Source organism: Homo sapiens (assembly GCF_000001405.40).
Source record: "Homo sapiens chromosome 9 unlocalized genomic scaffold, GRCh38.p14 Primary Assembly HSCHR9_UNLOCALIZED_CTG3".
NCBI lineage: Eukaryota > Metazoa > Chordata > Mammalia > Primates > Hominidae > Homo > Homo sapiens.
Window position 1 is genome coordinate 146659 of NT_187374.1, and position 17564 is coordinate 164222.

Consider the following 17564-nt stretch of genomic DNA (forward strand, 5'->3'; position numbering starts at 1 on the left):
ATAATTATTTTATCACTACATCCAGATAATTCCAACAAGCAATATGCTTGTTGAGGTGAAATAATTTTTCTAAGATACAAACAGAAAATATATACGATTGAAATAGACACTAGGTGATATTTCACATACACAATATGAGCTCTGTTTCTTTGACAAGACAGATGCATGAAGAATTCATGTTTGAATGATTGGCATTAGTCTAAAGTATTAAATAATGAAATTGTCCATATTCTCTGCCCAGTATGATCTTTTAAAATATCATCCACACAAATACAAGTGAGGTCATATTTTTTACAATGAGGCATCAAATTTAAAGGCAGCAAAAAAATAATGAATATACCTCTTAGGCTAATTGTTTACCTTAGTGGCTTTAATGATATGGAAAGTTGAAGTTTAGAGTGAGAAAAGCACCAAAAAAGAAAATAATCAGTCTCCTGACTTTCATATCTGGTAGTCTTAGAATGAATGTCAGAACTGTCACAGGTCAAATAATGGCCCAGTATGTTTTCAAATAAGTGACACTGAACACCATGTTTTAGAAGTGCATGATTATCCTTCTTGATGTTAATCTCACAACTTAAGGACATGCTTGCCAAACATCATAATTTCTCTTAATAACTCATATCAGATAAATCTCCAGTGGAGACCTATGCTCTGGACTCCAGACTTATGCCAAGTAGCCTAATTACTATCTCCACTTGCAGGCAAAATAGGCATCTCAAAGTGAACATACCTCAAAAAGAGCTCTTAATCTCCTTCTACTATTCTCCCCACTTACCCAGCATCTTCTCCATTCTCACCTTCTCTCATCATGTTCCTCATATCAGGAGGTAATAGACTCCATCCTTATAGTTATACAGTTATTAAGCCACAAAACACCCTGTTTATACCCTTGGCAGCCCTATTTTTTTTTTTTAATTATACTTTAAGTTCTGTGATACAGGTGCAGAACATGCAGGTTTGTTACATAGGTATACATGTGTCATGGTGGTTTGCTGCACCTATCAACCTGTCATCTACATTAGGTATTTCTGCTAATGCTATCCCTCCCTTACCCCCCACCCCCTGACAGGCCCTTGTGTGTAATATTCCCCTCCCTGTATCCATGTGTTCTTATTGTTCAACTCCCACTTATGAGTGAGAATATGCAGTGTTTGGTTTTCTGTTCCTGTGTTAGTTTGCTGAGAATGATGGTTTCCAGCTTTATCTATGTCCCTGCAAAGGACATGAACACATTCTTTTTTATGGCTGCATAATATTCCATGGTATATATGTGCCACATTTTCTTTATCCAGGCTATCATTGATGGGCATTTGGGTTGGTTCCAAGTCTTTGCTATTGTGAATAATGCTGCAGGAAACATACATGTGCATGTGCCAACCCCATCAAAAAGTGGACAAAGGATATGAGCAGACACTTCTCAAAAGAAGAAATTTATGCGGCCAACAAACATATGAAAAAAAGCTCATCATCACTGTGCTGGGTCCATCCCGCAGACCCTGGCTGAGCAACAGAAGAAAGGAGTACTCAGACACAAATATACAGGGTAAGAGCAGGCTAGGAGGCTGCGAGCACTAGGGGCAGAGGAGAGTTAGCAGTCTCAGTAAGACAGAGCTGCTTGTATTTATTCAGTACTGGTATAACGTCCAAGGCCTGGAGTCAACACAATTGCTGGGTAATTAACATTTTTGCTCCCTCTTACAGGGAGCAGTCTCATGCTCAGAAGTTCAAAAGTCAGTTTCCTGATGACATAAGTAAACAAGCCTATTTAGATAAACTTCTTTACTTTTCCTTGCACCTACTTCTCACCCTTAGCCTCAGAGAAAGAGAATTTTCTTCCTTCACCTTTATTCTCTCATGAAGCTTTTGCAAGACCTTCCAACCTTTCAAGAAGGCTTGCGTCTTTCCTTATAGCTTCTCCCACCACCCTGACCGATCTCCCACATCACTGGTCATTAGAGAAATGCAAATCAAAACCACAGTGAGATACCATCCCACGCCAGTTAGAATGACGACCACTAAAAAGTCAGGAAACAATAGACACTGGAGAGGATATGGAGAAATAGGAATGCTTTTACACTGTTGATGGGAGTGTAAGTTAGTTCAACTATTGTGGAAGGCAGTGTGGCGATTTCTCAAGGTTCTAGAACCAGAAATACCATTTGACCCAGCAATCCCATTACTAGGTTTCTACCCAAAGTATTATAAATCATTCTACGTTTTTTTTTGACATGGAGTTTCACTCTCGTCATCCAGGTTGGAGTGCAATGGCATGATCTTGGCTCACTGCAACCACCACCTCCTGGGTTCAAGTGATTCCCTTGCCTCAGCTTCCTGAGGAGCTGGGATTACAGGCACCCGCCAACATGCCCGGCTAATGTTTGTATTTTTAATAGAGACGGGGTTTCACCATGTTGGCCAGGCTGGTTTCAAACTCCTGACCTCAGGTAATCCACCCATCTCAGCCTCCCAAAGTGCAGTGATTACAGGACTAAGCTACGACTCCCAGCCACCCTCATTTTTTTATAGCTCATACTATGTTAACAAATTTTATCAATAGTAATTCAAAACATCTTCAGATTCTGTTCCTGTCTCACCACCATCACTACCACCCTGATTCAAACCACCATCTCTCCACTCTCCAGTTAGGTTTACTGCTATAGCCGCCTAACTGGTCTTCCTACTTCCCTGTAGCCCCTTGCCTTCAGTCTATTCTAGTTTCTGCAATTAGGGTGATTCTTTAAGAATATGTCAGACGGAGCCATTCTTCTGTTAAAACCCTCCAATGACTTCACTCTCCATCCCACTCAAGGTATTAGTTTCCTCAGGCTACTGTAACAAATTACCACCAACTGAGTAGGTTAAAATTACAGAAATTTATCCTCTCACAGTTCTGGAGGCTAGGAGTTGAAAGTAAGGTGTCATCAGGGTCATGGTCTCTGAAGGCTCCAGGGGAGGATCCTTCCTTGTCTTTTCTTAGCTTCTCACAGTTGCCATCAATCCTTGGCATTCTTTGGCTTGTAGTTACATGACTCCAATCTCTTCCTTCATCTTCACATACTTTATCCACTATGTGTTTTTCTAAATATCCACGTTCTTACAAGCACACTAGTCATTTGATAAGGGCCCATCTGAATCCACTTAACTTGACTGACTAGGCAAGATTTTATTTCCAAGTAATGTCATATTTACAAGTACTGAGAGTTGGGATTTGAACATCTTTTTGGGGAAGACATAATTCAACCCACAGTACTCACATCCCAAAGCTCCTTACCATGCACACATCTCCAGTCCTTTGGTATTCAAAGTGTGATACACAGACCAGTAGCACCAGCATCCCCTGAAACTTGTAAGAAATATAAACTCTCCAGACCACCTGAATCAGAATCTTTATTTTAATGTGAAACCTAGGTGATTTATATGCAAATTAGAATCTGAGAAGCATACCCCTCAAAACAACCTGCCTACTTTTCTTATTATTTCATCTGCTCCTCACTCCATATCACTCTGTCATTACTCTGCTTGTGTCATATTGGCCTTTTTGATATTCCTGTAGTGCCTGGACTATTCCTCCCCCAGATATTTGCATGGGTTATTTACTCACCTGCACCAGATATAAAGATACAGTTATTATATATAGTGATATATAATTATACATATATTATCACACATATATATAACACAGTGCAGTTGTTCCTGGATAATCTATTTTAAATATACATCCTATCAACCCCATTCTTCTTCCTTGCTTTTTCTAATTCAAACGTATTTATTTCCACAAATTTTTATCCACAGCTAAATATTACAGTGACTATTCCAAGCATTTTTCTATAAAGAAAGGTGTAGTTTACAGATTTGTTCAAAGTGGAAAAATATTTTCATCAGTAGTCTTTCTTCCCTGGTGTTAGGTTCACCCCTGAATGTTCTGAACTCTTCCGGAGAGGCAGTCCTTCATCTAAATGTCAGCGGGTGGCAAAATGTTATATTCAAATCTGGATTATTCTGATACAGTGTCACTTCAGAAAGTAGCTTAGTTTCATTTCTGGTTGATCCCCTTTGTTAGAATTAGGAATTTTTTTTTAAAAAACAATCTTTTGTATGTAATGACCTTTATAATAATAATAAATCCTGCCCTGTGTTTGTCATTGGCATTAACCTCTGTCTACACCCTCTAATTCTCTAATTATGGCTCCAGTGGGTACAAAAGGTGAATTATGGTTATTTGGCTCATGCAGCAAATTAATTGGAGAAACTGATGACAAATAGTCTGTGAAGAACTACAAGGTCTTGCCCCATGCTGTCCCATTTTAGTTACCATTTAGTTATGTAGGCATTATACAAATGCCTCAAATTAGGACATCTTTGCTCTCTCAGTAGGTCGAGTTTATGAAAATTTACTTTATGCAGAAAAAATAAATTCTAATTTATTGGTTACCAGAATCTTAATGTATGAAGGTTCTAAGTAAATATTTGATGAATTGATGGTAGCAGCGTTAATTTTTAAATGTTCCAAGCTCCTAGTTTTTTTTTTTGTTTTGTTTTTGCAAAAGCCTTAAAGTTTGGTACTAAGGAAATCAAAGAATCAACTCCCACCATCATGCTTCAGGAAAGGGAAAAATGTCTACCTTTGGGTCTAACCTGCCTCCCAGGTGAGCCTACTGGTACTAGAACTGTAACTGCAACTATGATGGCACAGGGAAAATGCATGTATGTAATATGCTTGTCGGCTTCAGCAACAACTCATGTATACATACACATTTACTATATGTAAACAGGTCCTGTATAATACTTAAAACACAAGTGTTTGATCTATAAATATTTGATTCTTAGTATTTAAAATGCTTCTAATATTTTAAAAGACAAAACTCCACCATGATATCACATTGAACATTAAAATTATTCCCACAGCAACACTTATTTCAGAGAAACAATTGAGAAGTCAGTTATCTTAGTCACCACTAAAGGCACCTGGTGAGAAAAGCTGAACTAAATTTTAAATATTAAAAAATTAAAGAGACATCTAGTGCAGAGTTCAAACCTTTATGTTGAATTGTTTGAGTCGTTACTGATTTCATGATGCTGATAAGTGTTTGAGTTGAAATGATTTTTTAAAATGCAGAGAAAATGCTAACAGAATATTATATAGTTCCCCTAAAGATGCTTCTTCTAACCTCCAAGTATTAAATAAGACTGATCTAAATGTTAAGTACATATAAAGTATATATTTGCTAGTCATCTATAAATTTTAAGTACAATTCCAGTGATATACCTGTATCTTTTGGAAGAGAAGAACTAAACCTGCCGTTTCTTAGGCTAAATAGATGATTCATAAGGTCCTTCCCTCCCCATTTATTCTGATTGCCAAGCTTTTGTTCAGTAAGCTCTTGGCATCTAGTGATTAACCAGTGACAGCAGACAGTAGTGACCAAGAGAGATGGAGAGAACGATGGTGTAAGACAGTATATAAGGACAGTAAGCCACTGTATTTGTGGAACCACTGCATGTCAAAACTCCTTAACACTCTAACAAAGCATTTTTGGTCTTTTAAGATTAAGGACAGTCCTTACATAAGGGACTCAGTTTCAAACTAAAGTGCATCAAAAAGCAAATTATACCCCACAAACAACTTTAAAGAGGTAGCCACAAACCCAGTTGTTTTAGATTGGCCTTCTAAATGAAGTCAGCACATGGATCCATGTGTGAGTGTCATGGACGTCAGTGATTATGTAACTGTAACTGAAAGAAAAAGGCACAGCTCTGCAGACACCCAAGAGAAGCTGGCATGTTTAATGTGGATGTAGAAGGGATAATGTCCATGGCAACTGATTGGAACACAACTGTCAGCAGCCTCAACACAGGCTAAGACTGGGTTAAGCCCCAGGAGATGCAGAGAACGACTGAGGAAGCTGTGCTCTAAGGGGACATTACAGAAGGTAGCTTGGAGTGTGCTGTGTTTCCGAGAGCCTTTTAAGTTGGGTGGTTGAGTAAAGGAGGGTAGAGGCAGGCTGTTCTACTTCCAATCCATGGATAAATCTCATTTTCTCAATGTAATACAGAGGCTGTTCTTCTATGATTGGCAAACACTATTTGTTCTTATCATGGAAACAGCATACTGCTATCAAGAAATAGGGAAAAGACAGTAAAAAAATGTGTGGAAAGAATATGGAATAAAAAATTTTATTATGCAGCCATAAAAAATGATGAGTTCATGTCCTTTGTAGGGACATGGATGAAGCTGGAAACCATCATTCTCAGCAAACTATCGCAAGGACAAAAAACCAAACGCCACATGTTCTCACTCATAGGTGGGAATTGAACAATGAGAACACTTGGACACAGGAAGGCGAACATCACACACCAGGGCCTGCTGTGTGGTGGGGGGAGGGATAGCATTAGGAGATATACCTAATGGAAATGACGAATTAGTGGGTACAGCAAACCAACATGGCACATGTAAACAAATGCAACAAACCTGCACATTGTGCACATGTACCCTAGAACTTTAAGTATAATAAAAAAAGTGTGGAAAGAATAATATGGGTTTCTAACTGAATGCTTGCTTTTGAAGAGCCCAAAAACAAACAAACAAAAAATTCTAAGAGCAGCAAACATCTACGCCTGTTATGTTACTGAATTATTCTTTTTTAAAATCCTTATTTCATAGGAGAGATATTTACAATTTTGAATTACAAAGTTTGAAAAACGTTGAAAATAACCTGAAAGGGGAAAGTTGACCTAAGCCATTTTATTCTCTTAAAAAAACCCAAACTTTTGTATAATAGTAATCCCTGAACTGAGTATTTTTGAAGGTTTTTCAGATAATCTGATGTGCGAGGTTAGTTTGTTTTACTATTCAGTTGTTTGGAATAGTAGAGCATTATATGAGGCTCTTACTGGAGGCTTAATGGTATTAAGAGATTAAAAGCTTTCACATTGTTTGGTTTTCACATCTATAAATAAAACAAGTTATTATCATTTTGTAATATTTAGCTTATATACATTTTTGTGAGAGTTTTGTGGGACTTGGAAAGTGTATGGACTAGCATCAGACACAAATTATTTTTCCATATTTCTCACTTGGAGTTTCAGATAGCAGCATTTTAATCATCTCTTCCATTAAACCAAGATTACACAAAAGCGTTTGAGGACACTGAGGACTGGCACTTCTAATTTTGCTTCAGAAACCAGTACTCAAAATGTCTGGTTTGGAGGTCAGTTACACTGCTGTCTTTGTATAATCAGCCATTAAAAAATATTTTGGGGACATTTCTCAGAAGTCTCATCCCCATATTTTTGTTCTTAACACATCTCACCACAAACTCTACCACACCTATGGTTTGCAAACTTTGGGAAATGTCAGTATATGCCATTATCATGGTTATTAGTACTATTATTTGTTAAAAGCACTTTGAAGGCAATTTATGTGACTTATATATAGTTAGTATTTTAATCTGGACATTCTCCAGTTATATGCAAAGATTAAAACTCAGCAGCTTCATTTTACAGAATTGGCATCTTTTATATGGCTATGGGGACTGCTTGGTGTCTATAAATTATAATGTATATTTGTTGGACTGAAATCAAACTTAAAATGTTCCACATTTCAAGTGTTTTTATTCTGAGCAGTACTTACAAAAAATAATGCCATAGTTGTGTCTAATTCTGTATAGTTCAGCACTCTCCACAGGCTGTCAATCTCTGATTTGATCTACTTTTACCAGATTTAACAGATCCTTGAATTTACTTTACTGTCTACGCTTCCTTTTTGCTCACATTGGGAATCACACTAAACATGCATCTACTTCATTGAGGAACTCCAGATTGAGACATGCTGGGATTGACTCCATGGTTAGGGAAGATGGATAAAATGGAAACAAAACAGGAAACATGTGCTTGGCATCTAATAGCAGTTGCTGAGGGTCATTCTGCTCTTGTAGTTGTGCCTGGATCGTTTGTATAAAGGCCACTGTTACCTGTTCTTCAAATTCATTCAGGGGAGGCTAAAGGTTTAAAATTTGGACAATCTGCTGGGTGCTGAGAGAGGCACACAGGGAGCAGATGGCCTCTGCATCCTCCTGGGTTTTCTTCTTTAATTGCAGGAGCTGGGCTGCTTCGATCAGAGGTTCCATGGTCTGAACTACTCCACTCTGGTGAAGGTTTCTTCCCCAAAGCCACTCCTCAAGCTGACTTATATTGTACCTGAGTTGCATGCCTGTGCTCCAAGAGCAGACGTCCTTCCGCAGGAGCAGGTCATTAAGAGTCACTGCGTTGATCATGTAGAAGAGCTGTTTGAATACCTACAGGATGATCTCAGGGTCCAAGCCCTGGTCACACATGACTGTATGAAAGGCATTCATCTGGCGGATGATAGCTTCCAGGCGGTATGAGTTATCCTCATCTGCCATGCTGGAGGAGTGCTTCTGGGAGCCAGTGGGCTTCACACCAGATAGACCCTGAATGCTCTAATTTTCCAACATGGCAGAAACTATCATCGGCTGTAACACACCCTCGGCAATTTTAAAGAGGTGCTGGTAGATCTGAATGGAAAGGTCGCTCAGTACCTGACGGTATTCGGTGAGGTCAAAGTTCTTAAGGCAGTGTTCGTTGTGCTTTGCAGTATTCTGAGTCATGAAGCCCTCATCCCCGCTGTACCGCTTCAGACAGTGAAGAAGGTGGCAGGTGTTGGATAACAAGAATGACGTCATCTCAAAGTCATCACTGTGCTTCTTCAGGACTTCCTTAATGCCGTTGGTGGTGGAGGTCATCAGGGAGTGCACCTTGAGATCATCATTGGTTTGGTCCGCGAGCCGGATGCACATGTAGAGGATGTAGGCGGGGATACAGGGCACTGTGTCCAACAGCATCTGGGGCTTCAAGTCTGTCACCAGGTTGAGGATGAGGAGGGCCTCGCCCTCTTTGTGGCACTTCAACATGCCCTGGAAATCCTTTTCTTTCCACTGAACTGTGACCTGCCTGTTGAACTCATGGCACTTCCTGTCACTCTGGGCCAACGCCTGGGCAGCTTCTTCACGTAAATCTTCAGTTGCTTTTAGAGCTTCCTCTCATTCTTTTCCTCTTACTTTATTTTTCACCACAGAACTTCCTATCAACTAGTATGTTGAATATTTTGCTTATTAACTTTGTTTATTGTCTTCTCCCTCGATTAGAATATTAGCTACTTGAGTACAAGGATTTGAGCCTATTACGTTCACTGCTGAATTTTAGGCTCCTGGAAGATACCCTGCATTCAATAGAGACCACACAATAAATATATGTCAAATAAATGAGTCTGTAAGTTCATCAATTTATTTGCCCATATGCATTAACTTTTGCCCATATACATCCATATACATCCCATGCATACATATACATGCCCATACATCCCATACATCCATATACATGCCCATATACATCCATAACAAGAGTTATTACTCTTGTTATATGAAATCAACTGTACTATTTGCTTCATGTAATAGTTTAAAAATACACATGTGTGTATATAAATATATACAGAGATCATAGACCTAACTCCGTCTATATATGTGTGTATGTGATATATATAAATATATACACACATATATGACTGACATATATATATAAATATATACACACACACATATATATGACTGACATATATATAAATATATACACACACATAGATATGACTGCTATATATATCTATCTTGTGTAAGTGGAATCAGGCAGTATTCAAACATACTTTCAATTAGTAATGACTATAGTTTAAATAAGAGAAAGTTTAAAGATTCTGATAGTTTAAATAAGAGAAAGCAAACATCACTACTACTAGTATTTGGGGAAAAAGATTACAAATAGAGATATTATGATAAAAGTGTACAATATTTTTTATGTTTGTGCACTTAGATCCATGTTCAAACTTTGGCTCACCTATACATGTATAGCACATTGGAATATGTGCTACAGTATGCCATTTATAAAGACTGAAAATAATAGTTTATAAACATTATTATTTATTTAGCAACCTCATAAGCTTGGTTTCAAAAATACCTGAATTACATAGCATAATCCCAGTGCTGGAGAACAGAACAGTAGCTGCCAAGGGTTAGGGTTGGTTGGAAGATGTGATTAGTGAGGGTTAATGTGAAAACATGTACTTTGTTTGTGGTGATAGAGCAGTTCTGCATCCAGATTATGGTAATGGTTACATAAATCCACACTTCATAGATCTATATACACACATCACACATACATTCAAACACATCTGTACATGTAAAATCCTTAGAAATATAAATAGGGTCTGAACCTGAGTTAATGGTATGGAAACAATGTCCATTTCCTGATTTTGGCAACGTACTAGGTTAAGTTAGATATAATCATTGGGGAAAGTTGCCTGAAAATAGCATGGTCATTCATTTTACTTCTTTTTTTAACTTCTTATGAGTCAAATTATTTTAAAACAAAAGGTATTAAGCAAAGACAAAAATTTGAAAGTTCAAAAATCAAAGCCCATATGAATTTGGACATATGATTTGATTTCTTTTGTAGACCTTGATTTCTTCACCTGTAAAAATGGAATAATAGTATGATTCCTATCTCATTATTGTCATGCTTAAATCATACCACTTATGTAGGTGCCTGTATATATATATATGTATATATACATACATATATATGTATGTATATATACATATATATGTATGTATATATACATATATATATGTATGTATATATACATATATATGTGGGTGTGTGTATATATATATATATATATATATATATATATATATATATACACACCCACACATATATCTATATATATGACTGACTTTGACTGACTTAGGTCTATGATTTAAGGTGCGGAAATTGGAATTTACCAGAACATTTGTGAATTGATTTGTTCTTATGCTTCACCAACTGTCATGGTAAAGGACACCTTAGCCCCAGCTCATAGTATGAAAACATGTAAATGCTTCTATGTGCCCTAAATTTCTCTTGGTTAAGCTTTATACTTTTTTTTGTTTATGACACAGAAATATGATCACAAAGCACATGTGTACCACGATACAAATTTCATGTATTTTGTCTCTGTATTATGTTTTCTTTCCATTTATGTCTTTTCAAGCTAACAATTCCTGATCTCCTAATACAGTGGGCCTTTCAAGCACTTACTTCTTTAGATAGTCATGTTCTTTTAACTAGGATCTCACAGATAAAGTTATCAAAGCATGGAAAAGGATGAAGAAACTTGACTCCTTCCCCTCTCCATCCCCCACTAAATTAAATTCATCCCAACCTTGTATTTGTTTTGTTCTCCTGGAAAAGAAAATATAGTCATCACCCTCAATAAATATACAATCTAGTTAGAGAGATATGACTTCAGAGAAGGATTTCTTAGTTTTGATTTTGATTATCTTCCTTTAGATATTTGGAAAGACAAAAATGCTGTATGCTTATGGACTGCAAGCAGTATGAGTGGAAAACAAAAGTAATAAATGTTACTTCTGACTTTATTATAATGTTAGGATTGTTAATAGTTAACAATTACTTACTGAAGGAAGATTTAAATTGAATATTTCTAAATGGGAAAAATTTAAAAAGCAGGTGAGTCCATAAATTTTAGGACCCAGAATCTACTGAGCTAAAAACTCAATGAGAGTTAATTCTCTGTTGGTGATGTAGCAATTCTTGAGGTTATTTGTGAAGACTCACATGAGAGCTAAACAATAAAAGAGGACTGAGACCATTTCAAGGGATGGAGAACACCTTCCTTTCTTGTTCAGATGATGCTCTGAGACATTGCTGTTTATTTTGACTGCCTCTTTTTAAACAAACTTCCACTTAGGAACTTAAAAACCACCTGTAAACCAACAGCCATAAAAAAGTGGGGAACTCAGTGTTTAAGCATTATTGTTCACCAGACACAGTACTGGGCACTTACATAAATGGTATGGTTTAAGCATGACAATAATGAGATAGAAATTCTACTATCATTCCATTTTTACAGGTGAAGAAATCAAGGTCTACAAAATAAATCAAATAATATGTTTAAATTCATAAGGGCTTTGATTTTAGAAATTTTAGATTTTTTGTCTTTAATACCAATTATTTTTAAATAATTTTACTCACAAGAAGTTAAAAAATAGTAAAAAGAATGACCGTCTTATTTTCAGCCAACTTTCCCCAGTAATTATATCTAACTTAACCTAGTACTTTGCCAAATCAGGAAATTGACATTGTTTCCATACCATTAACTCCAGTTCAGACCCTATTCATATTTCCAAGGATTTTACATGTACTCTTGTGTAGGTGTGTGTGAGTGTATGTGTGATGTGTGTGTATAGGTCTATGAAGTGTGGATTTATGTAACCATCACCATAATCTGGATGCAGAACTGCTCTATCACCACAAAGAAAGTACATGTTTTCACGTTATCCCTCACTAATCACATCTTCCAACCAACCCTAACCTTTGGCAGCCACTGATCTGTTCTCCAGCACTAGGATTATGCTTTGTAAATCAGGTATTTTTGAAGCCAAAGCTCATGAGGTTGCTAAATAAATAATAATGTTTTATAAAATGTTATTTTCAGTCTTTATAAATGGCATACTGTAGCACATATTTAAATGTGCTATACATGTATAGGTGGCAAAGTTTGAACACGGATCTAAGTGCACAAATGTAAAAAATATTGTACACTTTTATCACAATATCCCTATTTGTAATATTTTCCCCCAAAAACTAGTAGTAGTGATATTTGCTTTCTCTTATTTAAATTATCCGAATTATAGTCATTACTAATTGAAAGTATGTTTTAATACTGCCTGATTCCACTTACGTAAGATATCTACAATAGTTAAACTCCCAGAAATAGAGTAGAATACTGGTTGCCAGGGTCTGGAAGGAGGGGAAATGGAGGTTGCTGTTCAATGGGTATAAAATTCAGTTATAACAGATGAATAAGTTCTAGAGGTCTGCTGTCAACAGAGCACCTATAGTTAACAAGATTGTATTGCACAGTTAAACATTTATTAAGAGGATATATCTCATGTTAAACATACTTACTTCATTAACAGAAAAAAATGGAATATTTTACACATAAAATTACATATATGCCTGAATTTCACATTTCGTTTCACAAATTGTACTGGTGCTAAAAAGGTATTTTTGTATTAAAAAACATCTAACTGAAGGAAAAGTTACAAATGAGTGATCATTCATAAATAAAATATAATCCTAGGGACCGCTGTTTTTCCATTTTGAATACCCTCCACAATTAGTCTTAATAATTATGTTGGCTGAATGAAAAATAATGATTTCTCAAGAGGCAATAGAAAATAGAGAATAAGTCCATTCTTGAGAAAATTTATAATTAGTGAAAGTAATTTTTTCATCCTCTTTTCTTATTTAAATCTCAAGTACTCTCTGCCACTCTGTGCTCTTCTTTCTGGGGTAAAATATGCCAGCTATCCACAGTCAGGGCATTCTCTAACCACTCCTCCTTAGAGATGTCTACAGACTTTTACTCAGCTAGACTGTCTTGTTGCCTGTCTTCATATCAACTTCGCAAGACGTGTGGACCATTCTCTTAGGCCCCTGCATGGCAGTGCATAATATATTCCATGCTAATTATCTAATGAGGTTCACTAAATTAATCTTTTATTATACCACATAAAATACTCTTAGATCTAACAGTACAAAAATTTCCAATTATGGGCCGGTCGCGGTGGTTCACGCCTGTAATCCCGGCACTTTGGGAGGCCGAGATGGGCGGATCACGAGGTCAGGAGATCGAGGCCATCCTGGGTAACATGGTGAAACCCCGTCTCAACCAAACATACAAAAAATTAGACAGGTGCGGTGGCGGGCGCCTGTAGTCTCAGCTACTCACAAGGCTGAGGCAGGAGAACGGCGTGAACCCAGGAGGCGGAGCTTGCGGTGCGCCCAGATTGCACCACTGCACTCCAACCTGGGCGACAGAGGGAAACTCTGTCTCAAAAAAAAAAAAAAAAAAAAAAAAAGAAGAAAATTCCAATTACATCACTCCTTTGCATTACATCCTAAGACTAATTTAAAGAGGGTATCACAAAAATAGAAATGATAGCGACAGAAAATGGTCCCAATTTTCACTGCACTGTTGCTAAGACCACCTTGCCACTCATCATTATAGAATGCCTTTCAGGTAACATAATAAGAGCCATTTTTAAAATGGAACCTTACTATACCCATGTGTGACAGGCAGAGGGACTCTATTATTATTCATAGTTTACAGATGAAGCAGTTAGATTTGCCCCAGGTCACTGGCTTATTAAATGACAGGCTAAGACAGAACCAAGTTTTATTCTCAAATAAGACCATAAAGAAGAGGATTGATCCAAATGAATTATAAAATTTTCTTACAGCCCCAGTAACAATAATAGATAAGCTAATGATTTCTTTAATAAAAATCTGATATGACAAGTAGAATGTGACAGAATCAACATGATCAATTAATCAGATTTGGGTAGTAGTTTGGTACCTAAATGTTGGATGCTCTTGGACATAAAGATGACAGTATTTATGACGATAAAGATGACCATTCCACAGTTTGAGAATTTCTACAGAGAGAGAGATGAAGAAAATTTCTGGAGTTATTGAAACTATGTGAAGATGAATTATTTGGTTGATGCACTGCTATCATTCTAAATGGACTTCACTTTCTGAAAAAATAACGCATAAGGATGAAATATGTATTGAATGAAAATTATATTTTGTTTTTCCATTTTTTACCTAATAAAAAAATCAGAAAAACAGATTTTTTTTAAAAAAAAGAAAAGATGACTGTAATAGACAATGGAGACTAGTAGAGGCAGTAGAGAGGGCAGCCAGGGTTGAAAAACTACAGGGTACTAAGCTTCATATCTGCATGATGAGATCAGTCATACCCCAAACCTCAGCATGGCACAATATACCCGGGTAACAAACCTGCCTAGACATTTGTGTAAAATGAGACGATTGCAGGGTAGTTTTAAAAGTCATTCCCCTTATGAAAATATGGAATGTTGTGCACATTATTTCATAGACTTTGTGCTTAGTTAAAGGTCTTAACCAAAAATTCTAAATGATTTCTCCTATTAATAAATAGATATCAATAACATCATTTTAATGGGCTCTATGAAGACCTTATTGAGTGATTGTATCATAATTCAACAAGTGCCCTATTGTTGAACACTTAGATTCTTTCTGATTATTTCCCTTTACAAAAAATGCTATATTGTAAATTGTTGTATGTATTTTTAAGTTATGAAATTGTTAGGGCAAAAGGTGAATAAATGTAAGGTCTTTGATAAATAGTCAGAATTCTCTCCATAGAGGATACGATAAAGCATCTTTTCATTTGAAGGAGCAAGAATAACTGCTAAATACTTCTGAGACTTCCAGTACTTTTTTGGTTTTAAGTTTTGTTGTTGTTTATTTGGTTTTTTGGAGGTTTTCTGTTTTGTTTTATAAGTAGGTTTCAGTATTGCTAAGTATTCAGTCATGGTGGATATTCGAAGAATAATTTCTCTCTTTGGGATTATTCCTCTAACACTATGAGCAAGTATCACTGTGTTCTTTCTCTAAAGGAAAATATAAAGCATAGACAAATTAAATGCTGCTCAGATTCTAAAACTATGAAAATATAACAATGGAGAAACAAATAGCAAGTCTGTAGCTACTCAATGACTTTAGCATTGAGTGGATCCTAAAATGCCTATTTTGCACAGAATGAAAAAGATACAGCAGGTTCCTTTGGAAGATCAAAGTGAGAAAATTGACTACAGCTTTAACAGCCTTAAAATAAATACCTAATGTAAATGACAAGTTAATGGGTGCAGCAAACCAACACAGCACATGTATACATATGTAACAAACCTGCACGTTGTGCACATGTACCCTAGAACTTAAAGTATAATAAAAATAAATAAATACATAAAATAAAATGAATAAAAAATAAATACAAACATATTAATCATAAGTAAATGAAACATCTGATAATCTCATTATGTCTGGTAGTAATGTCACCTCTGAGTATTTAAATATTCATCTACATATTTCTTTGCTAAATTTCCTTTTATTTCTCCTTTATATTAAACTTTTTTTTAGAGAGCACAACTCCAAAGCATCTTTTATTAATATAGAAAGGTCATATTTAGCAAAAGACACAAGGCAGGGAAGTGTCAGGCCTGAGGCCTGAGCTGTGCTGAGGGACAAGGAGGCTCCGGACAAGTGCTGGGAAGGGCTGAGTGGTGGGGGCCACAGAAAGTTCCAGTGGGCAACACTGTCGGCAGGTCATGGGTGGGACTCACGGGGACCTCGTTGCTAACTCTTGTTGCGTTGGCGGGGTGGGGTGGGGAGGGGGGTCCTTAGTGCTGCCACCTGGAGTGAGAACCGCCCCTTGGTTCCTGGAGGGCACCCATCAAGGGACACAGGATAGGAAGCCCAGGATGGTTAGTGCAACTAGGGATGAAGGCCAGGGAGAAGCAGGTGCTCTGGAGTCCAGACACAGAGGCCTAGGAACTTCCTGTTAAGTGTGGGCGTTCCGCTCTGTCTCTACCAGGCACTCTGACTAGGGATGGATGATACCTCTCTTCAGGCGCTCCGCAGCGCTCTTGCTGCCAGCATAGGTGGGCCGGATCACTTTGCCCATCTCCCCTGTGACCAACAGCAGTTCCGTGTAGGTACTCTGGGAGCCCTGGGCACCAGGTGGTTTCATGGCCTGCACACAACCGATGGTAGGCGGTCCAAAGTCTTTAAACAGCGGTCTGAAAGGGGCAGTGGCTCCCGGCCCTGAGCCCGACGGTGACGGGACGCTTCCTGTAGGGACCAGAGTGCCTGGCCCAGGGGTGCTGGAGCCGGGGGTGCTGCTGGGGGCAGGTGTGGTAGGTTTGTAGGACATCCCCAACTCCTGGGCACTGGGGAAGCCAGCAGGCTGCTCTTCGGGGGTTGGCTGCGGGACCGCTCAGCAGCGATCTGATTGGCAAGTGGGCTGCACACCCCCTGGTAAATCTATATTAAACTTTTTAACTGCAATTTGTATTAATCTAAATACAGTTCAAATATTCTCCATGAAAATTTCACATTTGAGTTGAGACATCCTAAAATTTAAAATACACAATGGATTTCAAAGATTTCATATGAAAAAAGAACGCAAACTATCTCTAATAATTTTTATATTGATTACATATTGACCCAATATTTTGTATATATATTGGGTTAAATAAAATATACAATTTAAAAAAATTATGCTACATTTTTGTTAAAAAATTTAAATAAACTATATATGAAATTATTTCTTGGGATAGAAAAGGGGACATGATTAAATATTTACTTAAACTTTTTTCAAAAACATATCTTTAAAACACATTTTCAAACACAACAAAAGTATTTTAATTTTGTATAGGTAAAATAAACTTATTCCTGCTGAAATTCAATCATGGCATGATTTCCTTTGTGTGCATTTGAGGACTCTGTTTATAACCCAGATAAAAACATAAAACTTTTGAAACTCTTCTAAGAATGTCTAACACAAATTACCTGTATAGGTATCACGGCACAGACGATGCTGA

The 17564-nt window shown here is 37.1% G+C and overlaps 1 protein-coding gene and 1 pseudogene across 1 annotated transcript; both read right to left on the reverse strand.

The window, feature by feature from the left end:
- Window positions 1-7633: 7633 nt before the first annotated feature.
- On the reverse strand, window positions 7634-15497 carry LOC102724787 (unconventional myosin-Vb-like; annotated as a pseudogene).
- A 430-nt stretch (window positions 15498-15927) lies between these two features.
- LOC107987371 (cyclin-dependent kinase 2-associated protein 2-like) lies at window positions 15928-16968 on the reverse strand. The gene has a single exon (XM_047442797.1). It carries the CDS (start codon window positions 16892-16894, stop codon window positions 16565-16567), a length of 330 nt encoding a protein of 109 aa, XP_047298753.1. The 5' UTR covers window positions 16895-16968; the 3' UTR covers window positions 15928-16564.
- Window positions 16969-17564: the final 596 nt, after the last annotated feature.

What these genes read in the sequence shown, in the direction of transcription:
- LOC107987371 (XM_047442797.1), bottom strand. Translation starts at nt 16,894, where the DNA reads ATGTCCTACAAACCTACCACACCTGCCCCCAGCAGCACCCCCGGCTCC.